Source organism: Homo sapiens, chromosome 10 (genome assembly GCF_000001405.40).
Source record: "Homo sapiens chromosome 10, GRCh38.p14 Primary Assembly".
NCBI lineage: Eukaryota > Metazoa > Chordata > Mammalia > Primates > Hominidae > Homo > Homo sapiens.
In genome coordinates, this window is record NC_000010.11 from 37,415,284 (window position 1) to 37,439,904 (window position 24,621).

The following is a 24,621-nucleotide window of genomic DNA, read 5'->3' on the forward strand; positions in this document are numbered from 1 at the left end:
GTGGGAAGATCTCTTGAGGCCAGGAGTTTGAGACCAGCTGGGCAAAATAGTGAGACTCCAACTCTACAAAAACAAAAATTTAGCCAGGCATGACAGGGTGCATGTGTAGTGCTAGCTATTCAGGAGGCTGAGGTGAGAGCCTAGGAGGTTGAGACTGCAGTGAGCTATGATTGTGCCACTACACTCCAGCCTGGGCAACAGAGTGAGATCCTATTAGAAAGAAAGGAAGAAAAAGAGATAAAGGAGGGAAAGGAGGAGAAGGAGGGGCAGGAAGGAAGACAGGCAAGCAGGCAGGCAGGATCTCTATATAAAGAAGTAAATCAGATGTCACTCTTTTACCGGAAATCTAACAGAACAAATGTCTGCACAGACTTATATGTAAATGATCACAGCCACTTTATTCATCATAGCCCAAAATTGGGGGGATAATTGATCTTTTGGATGACAGATCCCAAAAAACTGTAGAAAAAAGTGATAAAACAGTGATTTTAAATTCTGAGCAGACAGCACCCTTGGTAGATATCCAGCCTGAACCAGAATGATTGCTGAGGATGATCTGTGTGTTCCTGGGCTCATAGAGGTGCAAGGGCTGAATCAGGCTTGAGAAGTGGGGCCTGGATGGCTGTGGAGATGAGCTCTGTTGATGAAAGGCTGCAGCCCCGTGCTAGACATGAGGGTTTGCTGAACTTGCTGCATGAGGGCAGCTGAGGAGTGGCACTTTATACTTGGGGTACACCTTGTGCTCTTCCACATAAAGCATGATTTGATTTTGTATATTTTAATTGTTGGGCTAGCACCCGATGGTTAAAAACCTCACCTTGTCCCTTATCGAACGTGTCAAAGGGTTGTTTCAGTCTTTTAAACTTGGATTTATTTTTGGCCTCTTTCTTCTTATTCTTGTCCCTCACAGTTCATCTTTTATCAAACACTTCTCGACATTTTCTAGCTCATTCTCTCCCTCCTTCTCAGCCACAGCCACCTCAGGCCTAGCTGAAAGCACCATATTGCTCCTAGCTGCCCTCTGCCTTCCAATTTATTCTGCAAACAGAATCCAGGATCATATTGTTCATGCTGGTTTTGATCATGCCCCTGCAATCTGATAATTCCAGAGCACATCCCAAATGCCTTTGGAATCCAGTTAAACTTGAACATGTGACCTCTGTCAACTCTCTCTTCTCCTTCTCTCCATTCCTCTTTCCATATCCACAAAATTGATTTGGATGTCTATGTCACTGCTACTGTTCTGTGATCACAAAGATCCAGTCCTGATTATGCTTTAAACACGCTGCCTCTCAAATCCAGGGCACAGCAAACACCACTGCACATGCAGGCTGTCTGTATGCTGTGCTCTGATACCATATTTTTCTTTACTTCATTTGTCTTCATGGTGAAATAGAGGTATAATGGGATGCAGGGGGCAAGGAGGCTTTCCGGAAAAGGAGTGGTCCAAGCTGACATTCTGTTTTTGTTGCCTGTGAATTTTCCCTGAAGCAAGCTCTGTCTTTGTGGAAGTTTCAGCATAATGGGATATCTGAGCACAACACTCATGGACCTTCAGGATTTGATGCTTTGAGGCTACTCTCCAAGGCTACTTTTCCAGCTTCATTGCACACTCCTCCGGTTTTCTCCCCAAGTTTTGAGGTTCAGCTGCATACTGCAACAGTGTTTTCTTTCCAAGTTTTGAGGTTCAGCTGTACTGAAGTGCTTGTCATTTATTGAGCACTTCATGCTTTCATACATCTCCTTTGCATCTCACATTACGCATTTGACAATTTTGTTTGTTTAGTCTTTCCTGACCCCTCACCCTGCAACCCACCAGCAAGTTAGATGGTGGCCTATAGATGTTTTGCAAAAATCCTATCACTGGGAGTTCTCTGGTTTCTTGGTCCTACCCATTCTGTTCTCACCTGTTCAGATCTTGATCAAGCACCAGGTTTCAAAATCATCTTTCCCTTTAAATCTAGCCCCAGAATGTGTCCCTTCTCAATTATAGTAGCTGTTGTCTTGACTACACATGTAGCATTTAACCATAACACTGTTTCCTTGTTTAATGGTGATGTGCATACACCCTTTCTGGTGGCAGGGACTGTGGCTATATTGTATTTCCCTAAGACAAGGGGGTGGGGCTCTTGATAAACTAGGTACAACAAGCTTATTTTCCTTTCTTTGGGAGGGACATGTTGCTGGTTCCAGGAGCCCCCTTAACTCAGCATCTGATGTCTTAAACACTATCCCTCAGGGGTTCCAGGACTAGAGAACTCACACACTGCATACTCTACTGCTAATGGTTCCTATTGTCGGTCTGTCTCTATCAATTATAAGTTAATCTAATACATCAATGGTAACAATTTCCCATACAAATAATTATCCTATTTAAAATTGAACTCAATTGCATTTATCTACAGTTTCACTAGATCTCTCCATGACACCTGCAGTATTTTAGAAGTCATGGTGATTTACAAGTAGAAGATTCTGCATTTGATAGGCCAGGGTTTCCTGGAGTTTTAATCCAAGCCCTATTCACTACAGATCAAGCCACTGTACCTGCTTTTCCAGAAGGGTAGGGAACTCAAACTCAGTCTGATGTGGTTACACTCAAGTAAACAAACACACACCTTACCCAGGGGCCCAGAACAAATAACAAACAATCGGGGAAGAGGGCATGACCTCTCAGGTAGATTACCTCCTCATTGTCATTTCTATTTTCGGTAGAATGGCTGATTTAACAGGTCTCTATATCCACCGGGGACTCCCTGGTTGTGCTGATGTTTGCTGTAGTTACCAGCCTAATGGCTGCTTTGTAAATTGTTTGGATTTGCTAATAATTCCTAATAAGGATAATTAAGCAAACAAAGCAATGGGTAGAGAATAGAGTGTGTAAATACGGATACATTTAATGATGCACTGACTGATGATTTCTGTTCCTTGGTTGTTAACTGTGAGAATCTACCCCAAAGATGCTTGAGGTGTGAGCAGACACAGGGTGCTGCCACAGTTGCTTTTTCTGGATCTCTGTATTCTCCTCCCCTCCCTTAACACCCCTTCCACTCTCCTTTACTTCTTTCTTTCTCCTTCCCTCCCTCCTCACTCCCTCCTGCCCTCCATCTTCCTCCCTGTGGGAGGAGGAGTTAGGTCAGGTCAATACATTAGCAAGGATTTTAGGAAAAGGGTGGTTATTCTCTATGAATCTAACTAATTAGGCTTCTTGCACGGATGGAGAATTTTAGGGGGTTGGTGTGTTAGAAAGCAGTGTGACTTGGCAACTGCCAAGGGACTGGGGGACAAAACCACTGAGAAGACTGCTGGTCTGGCTGGCAAAGGCAGTGGAGTTGGGAGTCAAATATGGCGAGGTGACAGGACAGGTCTGTGATAGACACCCCCCCAGCAGAAGCACCTGGACCCAGGTAAATGGAGGCTGTTTTTTGGAAGCGATGAAACGGAACTTTGACAAAATGAAATGATTTTAATTTCAAGAACTTCACAGGGGAGTTTGGAAGAAAGCTCCTGTGGAGATGTGGGTTCAATCTACCTCTTCACTGTGGTCAGTGCATCTCACCTGCTAATGGGGTGTAATTTTGTGGAGTCAATGACATATATTAGAGTCCGGCTGCGTGTGGAGCAGGACCTACACATTGTGCAGTGGAGCGAGTGTGGGTTTGGGAAAGAACAGAGTGGAGTCCAGTCTGCGAAAAGAGCCACTGCAGTGCCTTAGGGCACTTCTACAATCATGAACAAAAAGTACACAGGAGTGCTGCCCAGACAGCAGGGGACATGTCTGGTCAGGTGGGTTACCTGAGCTTGTGTGTATGTGGGTCACAGTCATCTGTATTTAACATAGTATAAATTAACACAGAGAAAGATGTGAAGGATCAGAATTCACAAGCACATATTGCATTTGTCAAAGGAGAAACGATATCATCATACACCGTGGAGCTTCTGAAAAACTCCTCTGTGCCCTGGTGAGAGGATGAAGATGAGTGAGACAAGGCAAATAATGTCTTAGGATGATTACAAAAATTGTTTCAACTTTGTACATTCCTTGGAAAGATCTAACTATCCCTGTGGGTCCCCATCCTATGCTTTGAGAATTGTTCTCAGGAAAGAGAGGATGAGTGTAGATTTCCATATGAGACGAGTGATGAAGAAAGTAAGAACTGTTGTATATAGTTTAGCAGCTCAATTATAATTTCCTTCTTGCACCAGATGAGCCTTGAAAACAGAAACCACCACTAGCCTGTTTCTTCGCCCTTGTCACTTACCATCTCCCTTGCTCTAGGTGTCTGGGGCTCTGTCTTTGTCTGTGTCTTTCTCTTCCTCTGTGCTGCTTTTCCCTTTTTCTCACTTCCTTTCCCTCTTTGACTCCCTCTTCACCTACCCTCTCCTCTTTTTTCTCCTCCCTGCTTCTTCAACTCTCTCACTGAATGTCTCTATCTCTGTATTTTTTCTTTCTCCATAAGTAACCAGTATCCCCCTTTCACTCCCAATATTGTTCATTTGCCACTTCCCATATGTTTTCTTGATATACCTTGCCAAAGTTGACAACTGTGTTTGTCTGTTCAACAAACTAACTTTTCGCCATTAAAAATATCCTTTTCTATGACATTAATTTCTCCCCCTTATGCTTCTCTTTCTTCTAGCTTCTTTGGGTGTATTCCAATAGTTTTTTTTCTTCCTCTAAATTTTTAAGTGATACACTTAGCTTATTTTCAGTCCTTCTTTTCAAATATATATGTGTAAGGCTGTAACCCTCCAGGTATAATTTTACCTTTTAAAATTGTCATTTACATTTTAGACTCAGGGGCTATATGTGCAGGTTTCTTGCAAGGACATATTGCATGATGCTGAGGTTTGGGCTTCTGTTGAATCCGTCACCCAAATAGTGAGCCTAGTATTTAATAGAAAGTTCTTCAGCCCTTGCCATTCTCTCCCACTCACCATTCTTGTAGTCTCCAGTGTTTATTGCCTCCATCTTTATGTCTGTGTGTACTTAAGATTTAGCCCCTACTTATAAATGAAAATATGTGATATTTGGTTTTCTGTTTCTGTGTTAATTTGCTTAGGATAACGGTCTCCAGCTGCATCCATGTTGCTGCAAAGGACAGGATTTTATTCTATTTTATGGCTGCATGGTATTCCATGGTGTATATGTACCACATTTTCTTTATCCAGTCCACCATTGATGGGCACCTGGGTAGATTCCATGTCTCTGCTATTGTGAATAGGGCTGTGACAAACACATGAGTGCAGTTACCTTTTTTGGTAGAATGATTTATTTTTGTCTGGGTACAAATATAATTTTAAATGCATCTCACAGATTTCATAAATAGTATTTTTGTCATCATTCAGTTTTAAGCATTATATTTTTATTTCTTATTTGACCCACAAGATATTCTGTTGTGTTTAAAAATTCCTAAATATATATGTGTATATACACATTTTAATGTTATATTTTTAATAATGAATTTTATCCTAATTGTGTTCCAAGCAGACAGAAAATGCAATCTGTATGATACCAATTCTGTGGCATTTATTGAGACATCATTGTGGCTTATTACAGAGTCAACTTTCATAAATGTTTCATGGATGCTTGAAAAGGATGTATATTCTTTATTTATTGAGTGTACTTGTCATGTACATGTACATGAGCTCAAATTTACTAATTTTGTTGTTATGTTGTGTTCTGTATCTTTTCTGATTTTTACTTGCTTGATTTATCAAGTTCTAGGAGGGATATCCTGAAAGTTCTCATGTGACAGAGGATTTCTCTACATTCTGATAATTTTTGCTTAACATATTGTGAATGTTATTATATGTATAGAAGTTTAGGCTTTTTATATATTTCTGGTGAATTGAAACTTTGGTTGCATAAAATGACTTTTATCAAATGACTTGCCCCCATCTGAGGGTATTCTCCTTGAGGACTCCTGGCTATTTGAAAAATTCCTGACCTAGCCTCATATTATTCTTAGAGATCTAAGCATTGTTTCATATTTTTGGAGAAGCTGTGGCATATTTAAACATAGATCCCAGGGCTTCAGAGATTAACAATGTCCTAATGAAAGCTTCAGTCTTCAGACCTTATTCATTTCTCTAAATTCATGCTTGCTTTGTTTGCGTTTTCTTTATCTGTTCCTCCCCACTCCCCTGGCTGGCTTCTGATGATTCTCTTACTTCCCGTGTATTTGAAAAGTTTTAAAAATCATTCCTTGACTATTATATCTGTCATCTATGTGTCCTTTTTTGGAGGATTTCTCCACCCAAACATCTATCATGGTATTTTTTCAGGAATGGAAATCGCATTCTCAATTCTTCACACATATATGGTGTGTGTCTCTGTGACTCACCTTAATTCCTTTACTTTATCCTTTCTATTATTTTAACTACTATTACTAAGGCAATACTTTCTTTTGTATTACTGATTATAAAGTAATTCATATACATGGTAGAAAGTTTGAAAACCAATGCAAAGTATTGAGGAGAAAAAACTACTCATAATAATTATTAGAATCACATAGCATTTGGGGGGGTCAGATTTGTTAAGATACAATTTGTATATCTCAACTTGTATAAGATTTACCTCTTTTAACTGTACAAAGAGACCACTTTTGACAAATATTTACTGCAGTGTAATCAGCACAACAATCGTGATCTAGAACATTTCAGACACCTCAGATAGTTCTTTTATGCCCGTTTGCAATTAATTCTCTCCCTGCAACTCCTGACCCCTGAAAACCACTGATACACCACTGATATATTTTTGTCTGTTCTAGAATTTTACAAATACAGAGTCATATAGTATGAAGTCTTCTGTGTTTGTCTTCCTTCACTTACCATAATTCTTTTGAGAGGCAATGCTGTTGCATTTATTTAGTAGTCTTGTCTTCATTTTAAATTCTGAGTAGTATTACATTGTATGGATATTTTAAAAATTATTTTTCCATTTCCCATTTGGTAGAAATTTGGATTGCTTTCAGCTTTTGACCATTGTGAGTAAAAATACTACTGTGAAAATTCTGTACCATTTTGGATTTCCACCAGCACCAACACTTGGTATTGCAGTTGTCCCTTGGTATCCACCAGGGATTGGTTCCAAGACCCTATGCGTTCCAAAATAAATACTTGTTCAAATCTTGCAGTGGGCCCTGCACAACCAGCAGATACAAACATTCAGCCTCCCATATACACAAGTTTTGCATCCCATGAACACTATTTTTATGCCATGTTTAGTTGAAACAAATCCACATATAAATGGACCTGTGCAATTCAAACCTGTGTTGTTCAAGGGTCAGCTGTATTTTTAAATTTCAGCCATTCTACTGTATGTATATCAGTGTCTTACTTTAGTTTTTTAATTTCCATTCTCAATGAATAATAATTTAGAGCATGGTTTTCATATGGTTATTTTGCATCTGCATATTATTTTTGGTGAAGTATTCACATCTTTTGCCCATTAAAAACTGAGTTGTTTGTCTTCTTAGTATTGAGTTGTGTTTATACATTCTTATATATTTAGATATTTTGTAGGTTATCTCATTACTTTCCCAATAGTGTCTCTTGCAGAGCAAAATATTTTAATTTTGATGAATTCAAATTTACCACTTTTTCTTTCAGACTGCATTGCATCCTATTTTAAAAATACATGGTTAATCTGAGATTATTAAGATTTTCTCCTATGTTTTTAGTAGAAATTTTATAGTTTTACCCCTTCTATTTAAGTCGATGATCCATTTTAAATAAGTTTTCATGTATAATGTGTGAGGTAAGAGTTAATGTTTCTCTCTGTCTCTCTCTGCATGTGGATAACTAACTCTTCCAGTATAATTTGTTAAAAGTTTATTTCCCCATTGAAATGTCTTGGCACCTTTGTTGAATAGCAGTTAACCTTATTTATGCAGGTCTAGTTCTGAACTCTACATTCTGTTCTTTTGCATAATAATCAGTATGCCAACATCACATTTTCTTGTGACAATATGGCTTTCTGGTGAGTATTAGGTAGTGTAAGTCCTCCAACTTTCTTCTTTCTTTACAAAATTGGTTTGGCTCTTCTAGATGACATTTGCATTTTCATGTACATTTTAGGATTAGTTTGCCAATTTCTACCAAAAATCTGCCAAAATTTTGATGGGAATTACATTGAATATATAGATGAATTTGGAAAGAATTGCACTCTTAAAAAAATTGAGTGTATCTCTCTATTTATATAGATCTTTAATAATTTATCTCAGCAATACATTGTAGTTTTCAGTATACAGTCTTGCATATCTTTGTTTAATTTCTAACTAGATATTTCATAATTTTATGAGCAGTATTACTTTAAAGTTTTATTTTCTGATTTTTCATTGCCAGTATTTAGGAATAAAATAAATTTTAGATGTAGACCTTGTATCCCATGACTTTTGTAAAGTCATTTATTGGTTCTAGTGGATTTTTGATAGATTATTTGGGTTTACCAGATAGATCGTCAAGTTGTCTCTTAGTAGAGATTGTTTTACTTCTTCCTTTCCAGCATATATGCATTTCAATTCTTTTACTTGCCTTATTACACTGGCCATTCATTATAACATTGAGTAAAAGTGGTGAGAATATTTTTGTCTTGTTCTTTATTTTGGGGGAAGGAAAATCAGTCATTCTGTAAGGACTACTAAATAGAATAACTACAGCTTTGATGTAATGTCATTTATTAAGTTGAGGAAATTGTCTTCTATTTGCAATTAGCAGTTTTTAAATCATGGATGAGTGCTGAAATTTTATAAGATTTTGTTTGATTGTATCTATTGACATTATCATGTAGTTTTGTTTTTTTTTTTCAGTTTGTTAATACAGCAAATTAGATTGATTGCTTTTTGAATGTCAAGCCAATCTTGAATTCCTAATATAAACCCCCTTTGGTCATGATATATATTAGCTTTTATATATTGCTGGACCTGATTTGCTAATAATTTGTTAAGGATTTTGTGTATATATTCACAAGAGATATTAGTTTGTGGTGCCTTTTATGCGATGTTTGTGTCTGGTTTTGGTATCAGGGCAATGCTGGCCTCATATAAATTAGGATATGGTTCTGCATCTTCTCTTTTCTAGAAAAATTTGTGCAGAATTAGTATTTCTTCTTAATTGTTTGTTTGAATTAATTAGTAAGTCCTAGAATTTTCTTTATGAGTAGAATTTTAACTATAAAGTAAATTAATTTTATTTTTGTTTTCCTTTGAGACTATAGAGGTTATGTCTTGTTATCTATTTTTTGAGTGCCTTGTCTATAAATACCAAATCATTTATCTGTTTTATCAAAAGTGTTGAATTCATTAGCATAAAGCTGTTCATAATACTCTTTATTATTATTTTAATATCTATAGGCTCTGCACTGATGCCTCATTTCTGCTATTGGTAATTTATATCTTTTTTCTTTTGGTTCATGACTAACCTCTAACTAGGTTAGTCATAAACCTGTAACTAGAGCTTTATTAATTTTATTGTCCTTTACAAATAACTAGATATTTAACTTGCTGGTGTTTTCTATTTTTTTCTGTTTGTTTGTTTTAGCTTATTGGTTTCTGTTCTTATGTTTACTATTTTCTACTTCTAATTATTCAGTGTTTAATTTTTCTATTTTTTTTCAAATTTCTTAAGGTAGGAGGTTAGGCTATTGATTTTAGACATTTATTGTTTTCTAATATAAGCGTTAATGCTAAAAAATTTCCTCTATGCACCGCTTTAGTTTCATGTCACAAACTTTGACATGTTCCAATGTTCATTCTGTTTAATGTATTTAAATATTCCCATTTTGATTTCTTTGATCCCATCACTACCCTCTGGTGTTTTACCTAATTTCCAAATATTTGAGGATTTTCTTGATATTTTCTAGTTTTGGTTTCTGATTCCACTGCAGTTAAAGAACATACTCTATATTATTTCAGTCCTATTATTTGGAAATAATGTGTCTCTTGTTGAATTTTTCTCTTTACTATTATGTATTTTTGGCAATAGTTATTGCTCTAAAAGTTATATTTTCTGATATTAATATAACCAAATAAGCTTTCTTTTCAGTGTTAGCACAGTATATCGTTTTTCATACATTTACTTTTAAGCTGTATGTTTTTGTTTGTTCAAAGTGAGTTTCTTCTAGACAACATTTAGTTGGATTTTGCTTTTTCAAAGTTTTTTATTTTATTTTACTCTAAGTTCTGGGATACACGTGCAGAATGTGCAGGTTTGTTACATAGGTATACATGTGCCATAGTGTTTTGCTGCACCTATCAACCCAACATCTAGGCTTTAAGCCCTGCATGCATTAGGTATTTGTCCTAATGTTCTCCCTCCCCTTGTCCCTGACCCCCCTATGGGCCCTGGTGTATGTTGTTCCCCTCCCTGTGTCCATGTGTTCTCATTATTCAACTCCCACTTGTAAGTGAGAACATGTGGTGTTTGGTTTTCTGTTGCTGTGTTAGTTTGCTGAAAATGATGGCTCCCAGCTTCATCCATGTCCCTGCAAAGGACATAATCTCATTCTTTTTTATGGCTGCATAGTATTCCATGGTGTATATGTGCCACATTTTCCTTATCCAATTAGATTGGATTAAAAAAATCCCATCTAACAATCTCTGACTTTAAATGGGATTATTTATATCATTCACTTTTCATTTGATGATTGGATGGTTGACTTTAAATATTTACTTGTAGGATTATCTTGAGGGTTGATAACTTCATATATTAATATATGCAGTTATTAGAGCAGTGCCTAAAACATATGAAGTTCTCACTAAACATTTGCCGTTATTAAATGACTCTTCCAGGGGCAAGCATGTAGTAAACACCAGAGTCTAAATTAACCTCATCTCTCCTAACTTGAATATATACTTTTTCCTTTACATAAAGGTGATGTGACTATTTAAATTATGATCATTAAAAACCTTGATGAATTCTTTGTTGTTTCCTTCTTGGCTGCTAAGCTCATAAATTCAGTTTGAGCTTCAGTTATGTGATTCTGAGCTGTCCAATGATGACAGATTCCTTACATACCACTCTATCATATATTTATGAAATAATTTATATTTTTGTTGTCCTTGGGGCATCAAATATTTCTTTGGATGTCTTTGACACCAAGTTCATTTTCTCTCTCATGATGGCAGAGATACTTTTTGTATATCACTAGAAATACAACTGTCATACTTCCTGGTAGAAAGTAATGTTTAGGGTATGGGCTTAGATATAGGGAAGAAATGATGACAAATCAGATAGTCATGAGGGTTTTGAGCATCGCTGGGCTTTCACGATACCTTCTTCTCTGTTATTAAAGTAGGGCAAAAAGCCATTCATTATGTGATTTTTGTCTAGGCAAATATTTATCTAGTTCAATTGTAGATTTAACCTTGTTGGGGTCCAAGGATGCTTTCCATGGTGTTCTTGAATTGGACTGGCTTAGAGAGCTAAGGATCTCTGTAACTAAACCTTATCCAAATTGACAAATGAGGTAGTTTTTCAAAATTACCTGAAAGCAACACTGGCTTACTTTTTGACTTTGGATATAGTTAGAAACTGGATTTACTTATTTCTTTTGTTTATTTTTATTTATTTATTATTATTATTTTTTAGATGGAGTCTCGCTCTGTCGCCCAGGCTGGAGTGCAGTGGCACGATCTCGGCTCACTGCAAGCTCTGCCTCCCAGGTTCATGCCACTCTCCTGCTTCAGCCTCCTGGGTAGCTGGGACTACAGGTGCCGCCACCACGCCCGGCTAATTTTTTGTATTTTTAGTAGAGATGGGGTTTCACCGTGTTAGCCAGGAGGGTCTCGATCTCCTGACCTTGTGATCCGCCCACCTCGGCCTCCCAAAGTGCTGGGATTACAGGCGTGAGCCACCGCGCCTGGCCTCCTTTGTTTTTAATTAAGGAAAAGGACATCAATATCTTCCATATTGAAGGGAGTGGAAGGCGGGACTAATTATATATATATTATCTTTTACTTCCATGATTTTTTTCTCCTTTTGGGAGTTCGCAAATAGTTTTTTGATGACGGCAAATACTCCTCATTGCTAATTTTTGGTGACAGAGAATATTAACTCTTTCTTCTTTAGAAAATAGGAGGAGGGGAAGCCCTCTCTTCTACTTTGAATTAGAGTACGTGCTTCATTTGTTTGTGACGAACCGCCCTTGGGGAACTTTTCCTTTCCTTCTTTCCTAGATTAACAATGGTACCAGCACGTGCAGAAAAGAAAGAGTCTCCGCTTGTCTTTGTCTGATTCTCCTGTCCTCTCCATGGAAGTTACATTTTCTGTAAAGGATGAGCTGAAAATTCTCCTGGTCGTTGCCAGTTGAACTTCTGCTGTGCTCTGGGAAGGCATTCTCACTCTGTTTATGTTGTCTAAGTGCAGACATGGATGTGCAGGTTTGCTAGAACCTCCTGAGGATGTGCAATGGTTCTGTTCATGCCTGAATCAGTTCTTTTGGGAGTGGACATTCTTTCTCTCCCTCATGCACAGCCTCAGGCACATGGCTTGAGCTATGGCGGCACGCAGTATGGCCATCACCCAGGTACACCCCTTCCCTAAGAAGAGGCTCTTCAGGTTACACTCGGGTACTGTTGTTATCTGGCTTATTGTCCATAGGATCAACATAGAGTCCTGAGGTCAGTTCAAACCATCAAACCAGGGATGTTACTTATTATTTGAAAACTTCTTTGGAAAGATAATCTTGGGTTGTTCAGTGGGACCAGTCTTTGACGGGCAAATCTCCAGAATACATGGGGTCAGTTCTCTCAGGTTCAGGAAGCATGTAATCTCTCTAAGATTCATTAATTAAAAAAAAAAGACACATGCATAGAAAAATAGAACAAAATGGAAACTCTTTATTGGATACCTACTATGGGTTATGTGCCAGGGTTTCCTAATCATTTGGGGACATGTGTGTATAAACAAAACCAGGCTATGTGGCCAGGCAGTGTGTGGCTCACACCTGTAATCCCAGTGCTTAGGGAAGCCAAGTTGCAAGGATCGCTTGAAACCAGGAGTTCGAGACTAGCCTGGGCAACATAGTGAGACCCGGTCTCTGCAAAAAAAAAAAAAAAAGAAAAAGAAGAAGAAGAAAGAGAAAGGAAGGAAGGAAGGAAGGAAAGAAAGAAAGAAAGAGAAAGAAAGAAAGAAAGAAAAGAAAGAGAGAGAAAGAAAAAGAAAGGAAAGAAAGAAAAGAAAGAAAGAAAGAAAGAAAGGAAGAAACAAAGAAAAGAAAGAAAGAAAGAAAGAAAAGCTAGGAAGCTAGGGTGTGGGGGCGCATGCCTGTAGTCCACACTACTTGGGAAGCTGAGGCAGGAGGATTGCTTGAGCCCAGGAGATCCAGGCTGCAGTGAACTGTGATTGTGCTATTACATTCCAGCCTGGGCAACAGAGCAAGACCCTGTCTCTACAAAAACAAAACAAAACAAGACAACAGCAACAAAAAAGACCTGCCTATGTCTTCATGAACTTTGCAGTATAGTGGTAGAATATGTGAGGGCCTGTTCTGTTGTGCTTCTTGGACACTCGGTGGGTTTACGCAACCTCAATCAGGAGCTCTGAACACCGTCAGGCCTTAGCCAAAATCTCTATAAAGTAATTTCTATGTATGAGTGCCAACTGCTAGGGGCAGTTCTGCTGAGCAAACTCTAAAGTTGTATGCACGGGCTTACAGTTATAACTCATTTGGGGCTGAGAGGAGAACCTGTTATTTGGTTTCCTGTCTCCTGATCCAGATGTTACATTTTGTCGTGGGCATGGAAAGCCCCCAAACTCCCCCAAGACAGTACCTAGTTCATTCTGGGAGGTTCCAGGTGTCCTGTCTTTTGTATTTCCAGAGGAGTTAATGGAAGAGTATAGAAACTCTGCTCTCTATCCTGTAGCTTCCTTGCTACACAAGTTAATTTGGGATTAGATATTTTACCTCTTGATAAAGTTTTAGTATTTTGTGAGACAAAAACTGAGTTGAGGTAGAAATATTTTTCTGTCATGGGACATTACTCAGGATGCAATAAACTGTGTTTTGCTTGTGGCAAAATTTGCAAACCTTCACTCAGTGAAAAGGACATGATTTTGTTAGCGATGAAGCCAGTGAAAAGTCAAATTTACCCATTTCTTTCCACATGGGTAATTTTTTGAGCATTGCACTCCCATTTATGGCATGTGCTCTGTTTTCATCGAGGACTATAATTAGACCAACAGGGGTGACTGTTTTAGCAAAAATGTAAAGACTCAGGAAGATACGTACCCCAGGATTGCATGAACCTAAATCTGGAGTCAGTTCTTAGTGGACTCTTTCCTTTCCCCATCATCATTACATTTAAAAAGTATGAACTTACTGGAAGCTTTATATAAACTAACACCTAAAGTTCTCTCAACCCAAGGTTGATTTGAGCATGTGTGTGTAAGTGCGTGGTGATGTCTAGTGCCAACTGATCCTGTCTAAAAGCCATTTCCTATTCTAATTAGTAGGTCAGCAGGCAGGTTAAAATATTAATTATAAAGCTGCCATCACTTATTAGGAGAAATCAGAATTCTTCTTAATTAAAACAGCTGCTAATTAATTTGCCCTTGACAACTCTAAGAAATAATAGAGCAAAAGAAAGAATAATTGGAAGTAAAACTGATGAAAATAGTTTAGATTTCATTTTAATCATTTGAGGAAATGTTACACTAAAAATAAGTAGCATAAATTATCAATTTGTCTAGAAAAAATTAGGACTTTTAGAAAGTTGCCAATGTGGCTATACCATTTTAAAAAATGTTTGTTTTTTTTCAGGCCCATCAATGAGAGAGACAACATTTAGATAGGAGTACTGGACATTTGAAAATTCTTACACCCTGTGATGTGACATGGAGAAGTGACCAACACAACTTTGCCAACTATACTCCATTCTTAGTAACTGCCGATTAGGAAGGATTTCTTTCTAAGTCTGTCACTAATTCAACTGTTATTCACAAGAGAAGTAGAGGCAAATGATAGCAGCTTGATCGTTGATTTTTGATTTAGATGATCAATGATGTTCAGAATAGTGTTTGTATGTGTGAGCATGGATGTGTATGTCGTGTGTGTGTCTGTGTATGTGGTGTGTGTGTCTGTGTATATTGTGTGTGTGTGTGTGCATGCGTGTGTGCAGGGTAGGTATCACCACATTCCCTGTGGTGGTGTGTCTCTTCTCTGGGATTGGTTCTTCTAGAATCTCCCACCTTTTAGAACCACTTTAAGATATTTATTTATTCTCTCCAACCATCCTGGCAATCTTTTTATCCTTAAACAGGAATAAATTCCTACAGCTGAATCTATTCAGGATTTCTGTGTGTATGTGTGAAAATTTATATGATGCTCAATCCTTTAAAAATCTTTTATTCAAGTAACTTTAAAAGTAAAACACAAGGTGTTTTATCATAAAAAGTGAGAGATGTTAGTCCACTTAATTTCTTGCTTGCTTTCTTTTGTGTCCCTAGATTACTTAGCCTCTGTTTCCAGCCAGCAGTGGAAACAGCAAGGGTGAGGGTCTTAGGAGTCGACATGTAACACCTATTACTTCCCTTTGAAGTTCAGAACCAATTTAGAGTTAAGAGCCAAGAGACACACAAATAGAGATCTTATTTCAGCTTTATTACTGATAAAACCATCTGGAGAATGTGTTTTTAAATTTGTGTGCAAATGGCTTGCTCAGACACCCTGATTGGATTAGTTGGATTCATACCCCCAGCCATGGACAGCTCTGGGCATTTCCAGGCACCACCATGGGGCCGGCCTGGCCTGCTAGGCAGAGAGAGAACCATTGTGGTTTGCAGAATATACTGTAATCAGTTTCCTCTACTAACTCCTTTAGTTAGAAAAGTCACTCATCACCTGACGATAGAGGGGCCAGAAGGGCATGTTACACTCAAGTGCCTCCCCATGGAAACATGAAGAGTGAGGAATAACTGTTCCTTCCTAAGAGCAAGTAGGATTGATTAATCCCTTGAACCACAATATGCAGTAAGACAAGCAATTTATGTAGGGACTTGAGTTCTGCAGTTAGTGTACTTATCTCTGGTAGGAGGCATTCCATGTTTTTAAGGCAGTCCTGTTTTTTTACTTAAGCTCCTTTCACTCTCAAACATGTTCTAGTATACCCGGCCTCATGTGGATAATTAATTATATAATGCCCGTAGTGTCTGGGGATAAAGAAGTCAATAGATTGAATCTCCTTAGATAGCCTGACAGTAAACTTATACTTGTGTTATTCTTGGAGTTTGAGATTGTTTTCCAGGATATCCATTTGGTGGAATTTCATATTACTGAGAACTGAAACTATCCATCAGTGTGAACAATAACAACAGTGTTTGCAGCAATGAGAAACCACCACTTCCTATGTGACTTTGTTGAAGACATTTCCAGATTGCATATAATGTCCCTCTGGACTAGACTTTATTTTTTCAGAGAGATGGTGATTTAAAGTGAATTTCCTCCCTTTCCATGACCACACCTGCAGCATTTATTGAAGGTTTTGTCTTTTAAGACACAGGGATTATGATGGTATTAAGTCTCCAGAAAGTGAAGCTTTCCTGGGCGATGGGAAACATAAGAAACAAACTGAGAAATGGGGGTTAAGAGTAGAACCTAAGAAGACTCCAGGACACGTCCTGGAGAAGTGATATTTATAGCAGGATATAGGAAATGATTCCAGCCCCGTAGCATGGGAAGAAATGGCTGTGTGACCGGAATCCAAGGCAAACTGTTTGCCTGCTCTCATGTATTAAGCTATAAGAGGGCAAACTGTTATCAGCAAGACTGCACATGCTCAAATATATTGCCCCTGGTTATTTAAATGTCTATTAAAAGTGTTCCAATTTAGGGTCAGGATTTGAATTTCTTCTATTAATTGATGAAAATTTGCGAGGCTCTGTCAGAAACCATTTTCTTTATCAGGGCTCCAAAGTAAAAGAGGTGTTAGCTGGGTAGCTGGGCTGCTATTCTTAGTAAACCCCCTCTCCTCCTGCTATGCTGATATACTAATATTTTACTTAGCATTTGAAAAATCCTTTGGCTGCAATTAAAAGTCCTGTAAGTCTGAGTGGGTATACAGAGGCTAGGGTAAAAATTAAGTATTTGCTTCCCACACATTTTTTTTTTGAATATGTGACTCTTACTATACTGAGGAAGTCAGAATACCATTCAGATATCAATGAATTTATTTATTTAAATATAATTATAAACATTTAAATCCTGAAGCACTTCTAAATGAAATGTATTTTCAGGTTTTATTTTACTGAGAGAGAAGTGCAGAGCCCAAGGAATGAATTAATTATTAGTCAAAAGATGACATAAGTGTGAAGACCAAGAGGGGAAAGGTGGTATGTTGTATTTAAGATATAAGTGGAAATTCAATATATTTAAAGCATGGAGTTTGAGAGAAAGAGAGTGGTGGGAGGTGAGTCTGAAGAGATGTAGGAACCAAATCTCCATCTACGGGAAGGTCCCGGAAGCCATGGTAAGGATATTGGTGTTTCTAAAGGTGCCCAAGAGAGCAGGAGAGGGGAGGAGAGGTCAGAGGTGCCCCAAAAGGGGTCTGTGTCCAGAGAGCTAACTGAGCACACATGTCTATTTCCCTCTTGGTTCCACTTTCCTTTCATGACTTACAGTGCATCATTAAGAAGAGTATGTCTTAGAGAGAACTGGATGATTAGAGAAGAAGTGGTCATTGAACTAAAACTTGTGATGAATTCTTGGAAGGTAGACAGAGGTGCCAAAGCCCAAGATAGACATCAGAGAAAAGAGAGGGGAAGGTGAGAACACCTAGCTCCCATTCAGGGGAAAACATTTTGGGTAAACAATGCTACATAACTATAGACAAAACACATGACAGTAATTTGCACTCATTAACCTAGTTAACCTCATTTTCCAGTCATCAAAAGAAGGAGATAACTGAAGCTTATTAGATCTTCAAGGAAAACCAAGATCATGGGGGAAAAACGACTGAACAATCACTTAGAAAATAATTATTTAGCATTTAATTATTGCCAGGGACTCTTCTAAAACCTTTTCTTAAATTAACTAATTCAATCCTCAACAACTCTGAGAGGTACTGTTACTATCCTTAAGATGAGGGAACTGAGGAACCAAGAGGTTAAGCAATTTGCCTTTGGTTCACATAGCTAATGATGTGGAGATTTGAACTTAGGCTGTTTGTCTCCCAAGCCTATGTTCTTAAATTTGGGGAAATAGTAAAGATAATTTCCACAATGTGAAGACAGTTAGCAGCCTTAAGGATGAAAGGATGGTGCAAATACCATGCCCAGTGAGTGACAGAGTATCAAGGCTGGTAGAGCCTGATGAAAGCACAAGTTTTCAGAAAAGAGGGAAACAAACAATTCCTATAAAGTTAAGAAAATCACATTGACACCAGACTTCTCATTGGTAGAGACCACAAAGCCCTTTTCAAAAGTGGGTCAAACTGGCAGGCTGAGCACATATCCTTCCTTCCCTTTCTGTCAAAAGATGGGACATTGTCTTCAACTTTGAATGACTTACACAGCAAAACATTCAAATTTATGGAAAGAAATGAAGACAATTTTAGACATGCCAGACTCATGGTTTACTATACAACAACCATCTCAGAAAGAGTTATTCAGTAATAGCATCAAAATGAAAAATAAATCAAAGAAATAAGGTAGTAATCAAAATAAGAGTTAAGTAACTACTGACAGATATAAGGAAAGTAGTAACCATTCGGAACTAAAAACAATGGTATATGTTGCTGGAGGAGCAGTGTGGGGAGGGTGAGTATGGCAGCATAGTGTGATTTCTTTTTGTTTCTGGAGAAAATATAAAAGTAATCAAGCTTAGTTTTGTGTGTATTTTCTTTTAGAGATGGGGTTTCACCATGTTGCCCAGGTTGGACTCAAATTCTTGAGCTCAAGCGATCCTTCAACCTCAGCCTCTTGAGTAACAAGGATTCTAGTCACATTCCACTGTGACTGGCTGCATACAAATATGTGAAGAGCAAGTATTACAAACGCAGTATTAGGATTTATTACTTCTAGACCACTAGAGGGGGAAATGGGATAAAGAAAAAACAATGAAACCAAAGACAAGGAAGTGAAATAAATAAAAACAAAAATTAAAAAGAGAAAACAGAACCAAAAATGAATGTGAAATAGAAACAATAATACAGCAGAATTAAGTTTGAATATAACATTAATCCCAATTAATGTAAATAAGTGAAATTCTGCTCTTCAAAAATGGGTACTCTGAGAATAGACAAGCAAGTCAAAACCCACAAACCGCTGTAACAGGGTGTGAAAAACAATAATAAGTTTTTTTCCTCAAATAAATGATACTCCAGTGTCATGCACAAATCTTAATTCTGTACTTTTAAATAGATATTAAAAATTATTCCTAATTTATTAAAAGAAAAATCTTACTTGATCGTGATGTGTTTTACTCAACAATAGAAGGATGGCTCAACATTCAGAAATATATTACTTTAGCTCAGTATAACATAGATTAAAGAAAAAATCACATTCACTCATAGAAATATATTAGTTGTATTCTTGTAAATGCAGCTCTTTCTCATTGATTTATAAAAGCTCCTTATGTATTCTGGATATTACTAATGGTTCCTCGATGTTTATATTGCAATGATTTCTTCTTTTTAAAGTAATATCCTCTATTTTGAATAATTTAGAATATTATCATTTTAATACTATAAATATTGTTAATACTGTTATTTTATCTTCTGGATTATTAAATATTGTTGAAGATGGGCTTTCCTTATCCTAGGTTTTTAAACAATTCTCTCATATTTTCTTCCACTACTTTTATAATTGTTGGCTACATTGCTGTTTGTAAGACTGATAAACTGGGAACCAACTGAATGTTGTTGGTGAAATCATGGTGCATTCATATGATGGGATACTTCTGAGCTCAAATGAATAATCAGAGTTATATGAAATAATATGGAAAGAGCTCCAAAACACAGTCAGTAGAAAAAGCAAATCACAGAGTAAAATATAATGACTACATTAAGGTAAGAAAGTCTTTATGGAATACAAATGCACAGAGAATGTCTAAAATGGAATATACCAATGCATTTCAAACTGTGGGAAGGGGAATTCAATTGGTTGGTACTCTGAATTCTATATTATTTGAAATCAGGAAGATAATGTTAGAATAATTAATTTAAAAGGAGGGAAATATAAGAAAACAGAGGCAGCTGTTGATCAAGCTTTTACAGCATCTGACTCAGGCAAGGCTCCTGTTATCTAGGCTAGTGCCTCTCTAGTACTTAACCTGGGCAATTGTAAGAGCCCTGGGCCAATAAAATAACCAGGAGGACTGGGGTATCCCTGCTTCCAGGCTCAAGCCATCCCCCCATCTCAGCCTCCCAAAGGGCTGGGATTATAGGTGTGAGCCACTGCAACCACCACATAAGGTTCATGAACCTCTGTGGAGCCTGGGAGAGTCAGCATGGGACAGGAACCAGCTCGACAACTATATGGACCAGAGACACCTGGGTTTAATTTAAATCCAGGCTCCACCCTTTGGAATTTGTTTGCAGGAAACAGACTATGATGCATTTCTTAAGGTGCAGGTAGGTTAAATGTGATGCATTTTCTAGCACAGTGCCTGGTTACTTTATTTTATTTTGGATTATAAAATGAAGATTTCTAAGGCTCTTTATGATTCTAATATTTTTATGGGTCTTTTGAATCTGGGAAATGTGGTTGGGGGAAGAGCTCTATTAGACATTATTGTCAGGTAAATGAAGAGCATTTACTATAGTAGCTTCTTACTGAGGCCTGCTAGATTAGATTAATTTTATGCTGTGGATTAAACTGGATTTTAATTATGAGCGCAAATAAGATCCTGGTGTCATTCATCTATGTTAATGTTAAGATTTTTCTTTTTCTAATGGTTCTGACAGAAAGAGGGAAAGGCTATTCTTGGAACATGAATAAGGCATATATAGCCACAGCTATACATACCTTTAATTACAACCAGGAAGAGTTCAGAGGGGAGAAAAGAAGATGAGGTATATGATCCCATGATATGCTAATTAGAATTTTTCATATATGTTGGTTTGCAAAATACTACTGAATACGCATTAGGTATTTTTGCAAAGACATTGAAGAGGAAATTTGTACTGCTTTATGAGCCTCCAGTCTCTCTGAAGATAGCAACTTTCCAAACCACACTGGTCAGGATGAAAAAATGACTTTCTGCAATTGCTCTACAGTCAGAACTTTGCAATCACAGTGACTGAAGTGAAAGTGCTGACTAAGGGCTCTATAGGAAGGTGACGTGCAGAATTATAATAAGAAGGTGGCAATGATTCAACCATGGGTCATTTGGCAACTCTCATTAGCAGGTGACAGGGCTGTGGTGAAGGGCAAAGGAGAATCATTCCAATTATGTCCCATAGCTTTTACTTGTTCCTCCAATTCCATGCCTTTCTCAATTTTGCTTTTTTTTTTTTTTTTCAGGGTCTCACTCTGTCACCCAGGCTACATACAGTGTGGTGGCACAATGGCAGCTCACTTCAGTCTCAACCTCCTGGGCTCAAGCAAATCCTCCCAGCTCAGCCTTCTAAGTAGCTAGGAATATAGGCACATGCCATCATGTCCGGCTAATTTTCTTCTTCTCATTATTATTATTATTTTGTAGAGACAGGGTCTCATTATGTTTCCCATGCTGGTCTCGAACTCCTGGGCTCAAGCCGTCCCTCCACCTCGGCCTGCCAAAGTGATGGGGTTACAGGTGTGAGCCATTGCAACCAACAATTTTGCTTTTCAGTGTAGTTGTTTGCATACTTGCCTCCCCAGTAAGATTTTAAAGGTGTGCAAAGGCATAAACTAGACACGTATTCATCAGTGACCCCTATAGCACTTAGCAGGATACTTTGCAGGAATATTCTGCAGTAATTGCTGCTTCATAAATGTTGGTTGGATTATATCTTCAAATATCTGGTCCTGTGGATTTATTCCACAGATGCTGCATTAAACATTTGGCTATAAGCATAAACAGACATGTGGGATAGGCTTTGTGCTTGGCCTGAAAGAGTTTCACTCTTTTTAAAAAATTAAAGTTTTAAAATATATTTTGGAGACAGAGTCTCATTCTGTCACTCAAGTCTGGAGTGCCATGATGCTATCACAGGTCACTGCAGCCTCAAACCCCTGGGCTCAAGTGATCCTCACACCTCAGCCTCCCGAGTAGCTGGGACTACAGTTGTGAGCCACCATGCCCTGCTAATGTTTTCATTTTTATAGAGGTCTTGTTATGTTGCCCAGGATGGTCTCAAACTCCTGTCCTCAAGCGATCCCGTGCCACCTCAGCATCCCAAAATGTTGGGATCACAGGTGTGAGCCACAGCACCTGGCAGGAAACTGACTCTTTATTAAATCTGTGAGTCCCATTTTACGCTTAACAGAGTGACTTGAGTGTATTGCTTGTCAGGAGCCATAGTCGGAGAGCTGTGCTCCAAACCAGTATGATTTTAAAAAACTTCCTGAAGAGAAGAAACAAAGGCACTGAAGTCAGCTTTGAGTTGACTTGTTCTAATTTTGAACACCTCTTGTTATCAGTAAATCCTTCAGTCTCCAATCTCACAAGGTGCCTTTTAATCCCCCGTACTCTCTCTTTTCTCATGGGAGAGATGGATTTTGGCCACTTTGCTATGTTATGTGGAACCATTTATGCTCTTGACTGTGGTAGCAGTATGACCTCGCAGCTTCGGGTGAGGTTTGAGCCAAATCATGCATTGGTCTGTTTTCCCCATTAACTGGTGAACTGTAGAGTTAGAGCTATGGATGTAGATTACATTTTGAAGCTTAGTCATCAGCAAGAGCCTGATTAATTTCTTTAGCTCTGATATTAGTCCAAAGCCAGAGGCTTTCAGTTTGGTGAAAAACATTAACTGCCTCCTTCATTTGGGCTGATTGATTGGTGGCTGAACAGAAGGCATTTCTTCCAGTCCACAGTGAATGTGAATTTTCCTTCAGATGCTCCCACTGAAAGCATAAGCTTTGTTTACTCATGCAAGGAGTGAAAAGATCAGATTCCTTTTCTGCTCAACTGTTCCTAACAGCTTTCTCAGAATCTTAATTTTTCTCTTCTACTCCCAGCCAGCAAGGAGAGATGGTGGCAAGACACTGACTTTGAATTGGAGGATGGGATTGAAGACTGCTCCTGCTTCTTCCTTGGTCAATGCATTAATAACCAGCTCAGAAAATAATATGTCAACCAGATTTTCTCTCTCAGCAGTGAATAACATCTCAGAATACCTTGGAGGTGCTCACAACTGCGTGCGTTATTTGCAATTGGTCCTTGCTTTCCCTCCCCAGTGTGAAGATTCATTTCCTCTTCCTTTTCCTTAGCAGAGTTGAAATGTTTCCTGCTTGCCTGAGTATGAAGGGATCACATGTTTGTCCTTGTGTTTCAGCTCTGCAATATAAATGCTTGATGTAACCATTTAACAGGATTGAATTTTATCCGAACCATTTAAAAGTTGGGGCAAACAATGAAAATGACTAAAATAGCTAAGTTATCTTCTAGTCTTAGTAGCTACTTAAATGTCAGTTGGGTAAATTTGATGTAAGCATTTGGTTTTAATTAATATATATATATATATATATATTGGTAGAGGTGGGGTGGGCTCCTGCTATATTTCTTAGGCTGGTCTTGAACTCCTGGGCTCAAGCAATCCTCCCACTTTCGGCCTCCCAAAGTGCTGGCTTTACAGGCATGAGCTACCATGCCTAGACTGTTGGGTAAATTTCCATTGCCTGCTACTTGTACTTAAACCAGAAATATTGAAAGGGATGATTACTACTTTAGCCAAGAATTAAGCTTAAAATCTGAATTGAGGTCAAAGTATAATAATCCTAGTTAACATTAATCTGAGTGATGGTGATAACACATTTTTGAATTATTTTATGTGTATTATTTCACTTCATTTTAGCAACAACCCTAAGGGGTAAGTGCTATCATTATTATTATTACTACTATTTTGCAGTTGAAGCAATTTCAGATTGGAGAGTTAAGTAACTTTACCCAAGATTACATGACCAGGAAATAGAGAAGGTGGGACTCTAACTGCAGTCTACATTTTACAGGTGACTATGGAATGCCACTATATTGTATTTCCAGGTAGACTGTGAATGGTTGAAACATGCTCCTGTTGTCTGCTAACTGCTTAACGCCAGCTTCTGGGGTGCTACTTTCTCAAAAGATGTAATTGGCATCAGGATGGCCCTTCTCATCTTAACATTTGCTTTCATGTAGATTCTAGAATGTTTGCAAATACTTGTATCTTAGTCCATGGGTAGATGATTGTTTTAGCAGAAAAGGATTTATGTCACTTTATAGAAGCATAGGGATTTAAGATTGCCCTTGAAGAATGGGCAGGGCTCAGAACAATTAAATGGAGTGATGATAGTCAGTTGAACTATCTACTGCCACGGGCTGTGGTCTAGATGAACCGAGCCTTTTCAACATTATCTTCAAAAGTCATGATTTTCTTTTTCTGTGAAAGGAGAATATTATTCATTTAACTCATTGCAATGAATTTTCTGTGATTTTTATGCATGACCCTGTTCAATGCTGTGGTTTTGTACAGTGCTATGGTGGAATTAGCTAGCTTTTGG

General features: G+C 38.0%; 2 long non-coding RNA genes across 2 annotated transcripts in view; both read left to right on the plus strand.

Moving 5' to 3' along the window:
* LOC107984223 (uncharacterized) overlaps nt 1-15,281 on the plus strand; it is a 35,525-nt gene extending 20,244 nt beyond the window's left edge. The window contains exon 2 of the long non-coding RNA XR_001747426.1: nt 14,762-15,281. This is a non-coding gene — a long non-coding RNA (uncharacterized LOC107984223). The remainder of the gene's footprint in view (nt 1-14,761) is intronic.
* A 7,008-nt stretch (nt 15,282-22,289) lies between these two features.
* Nucleotides 22,290-23,451, plus strand: LOC105376497 (uncharacterized). The gene is made up of 2 exons (XR_930827.3): nt 22,290-22,381; nt 23,101-23,451. It is a non-coding gene; the product is annotated as an uncharacterized LOC105376497 (long non-coding RNA).
* Nucleotides 23,452-24,621: the final 1,170 nt, after the last annotated feature.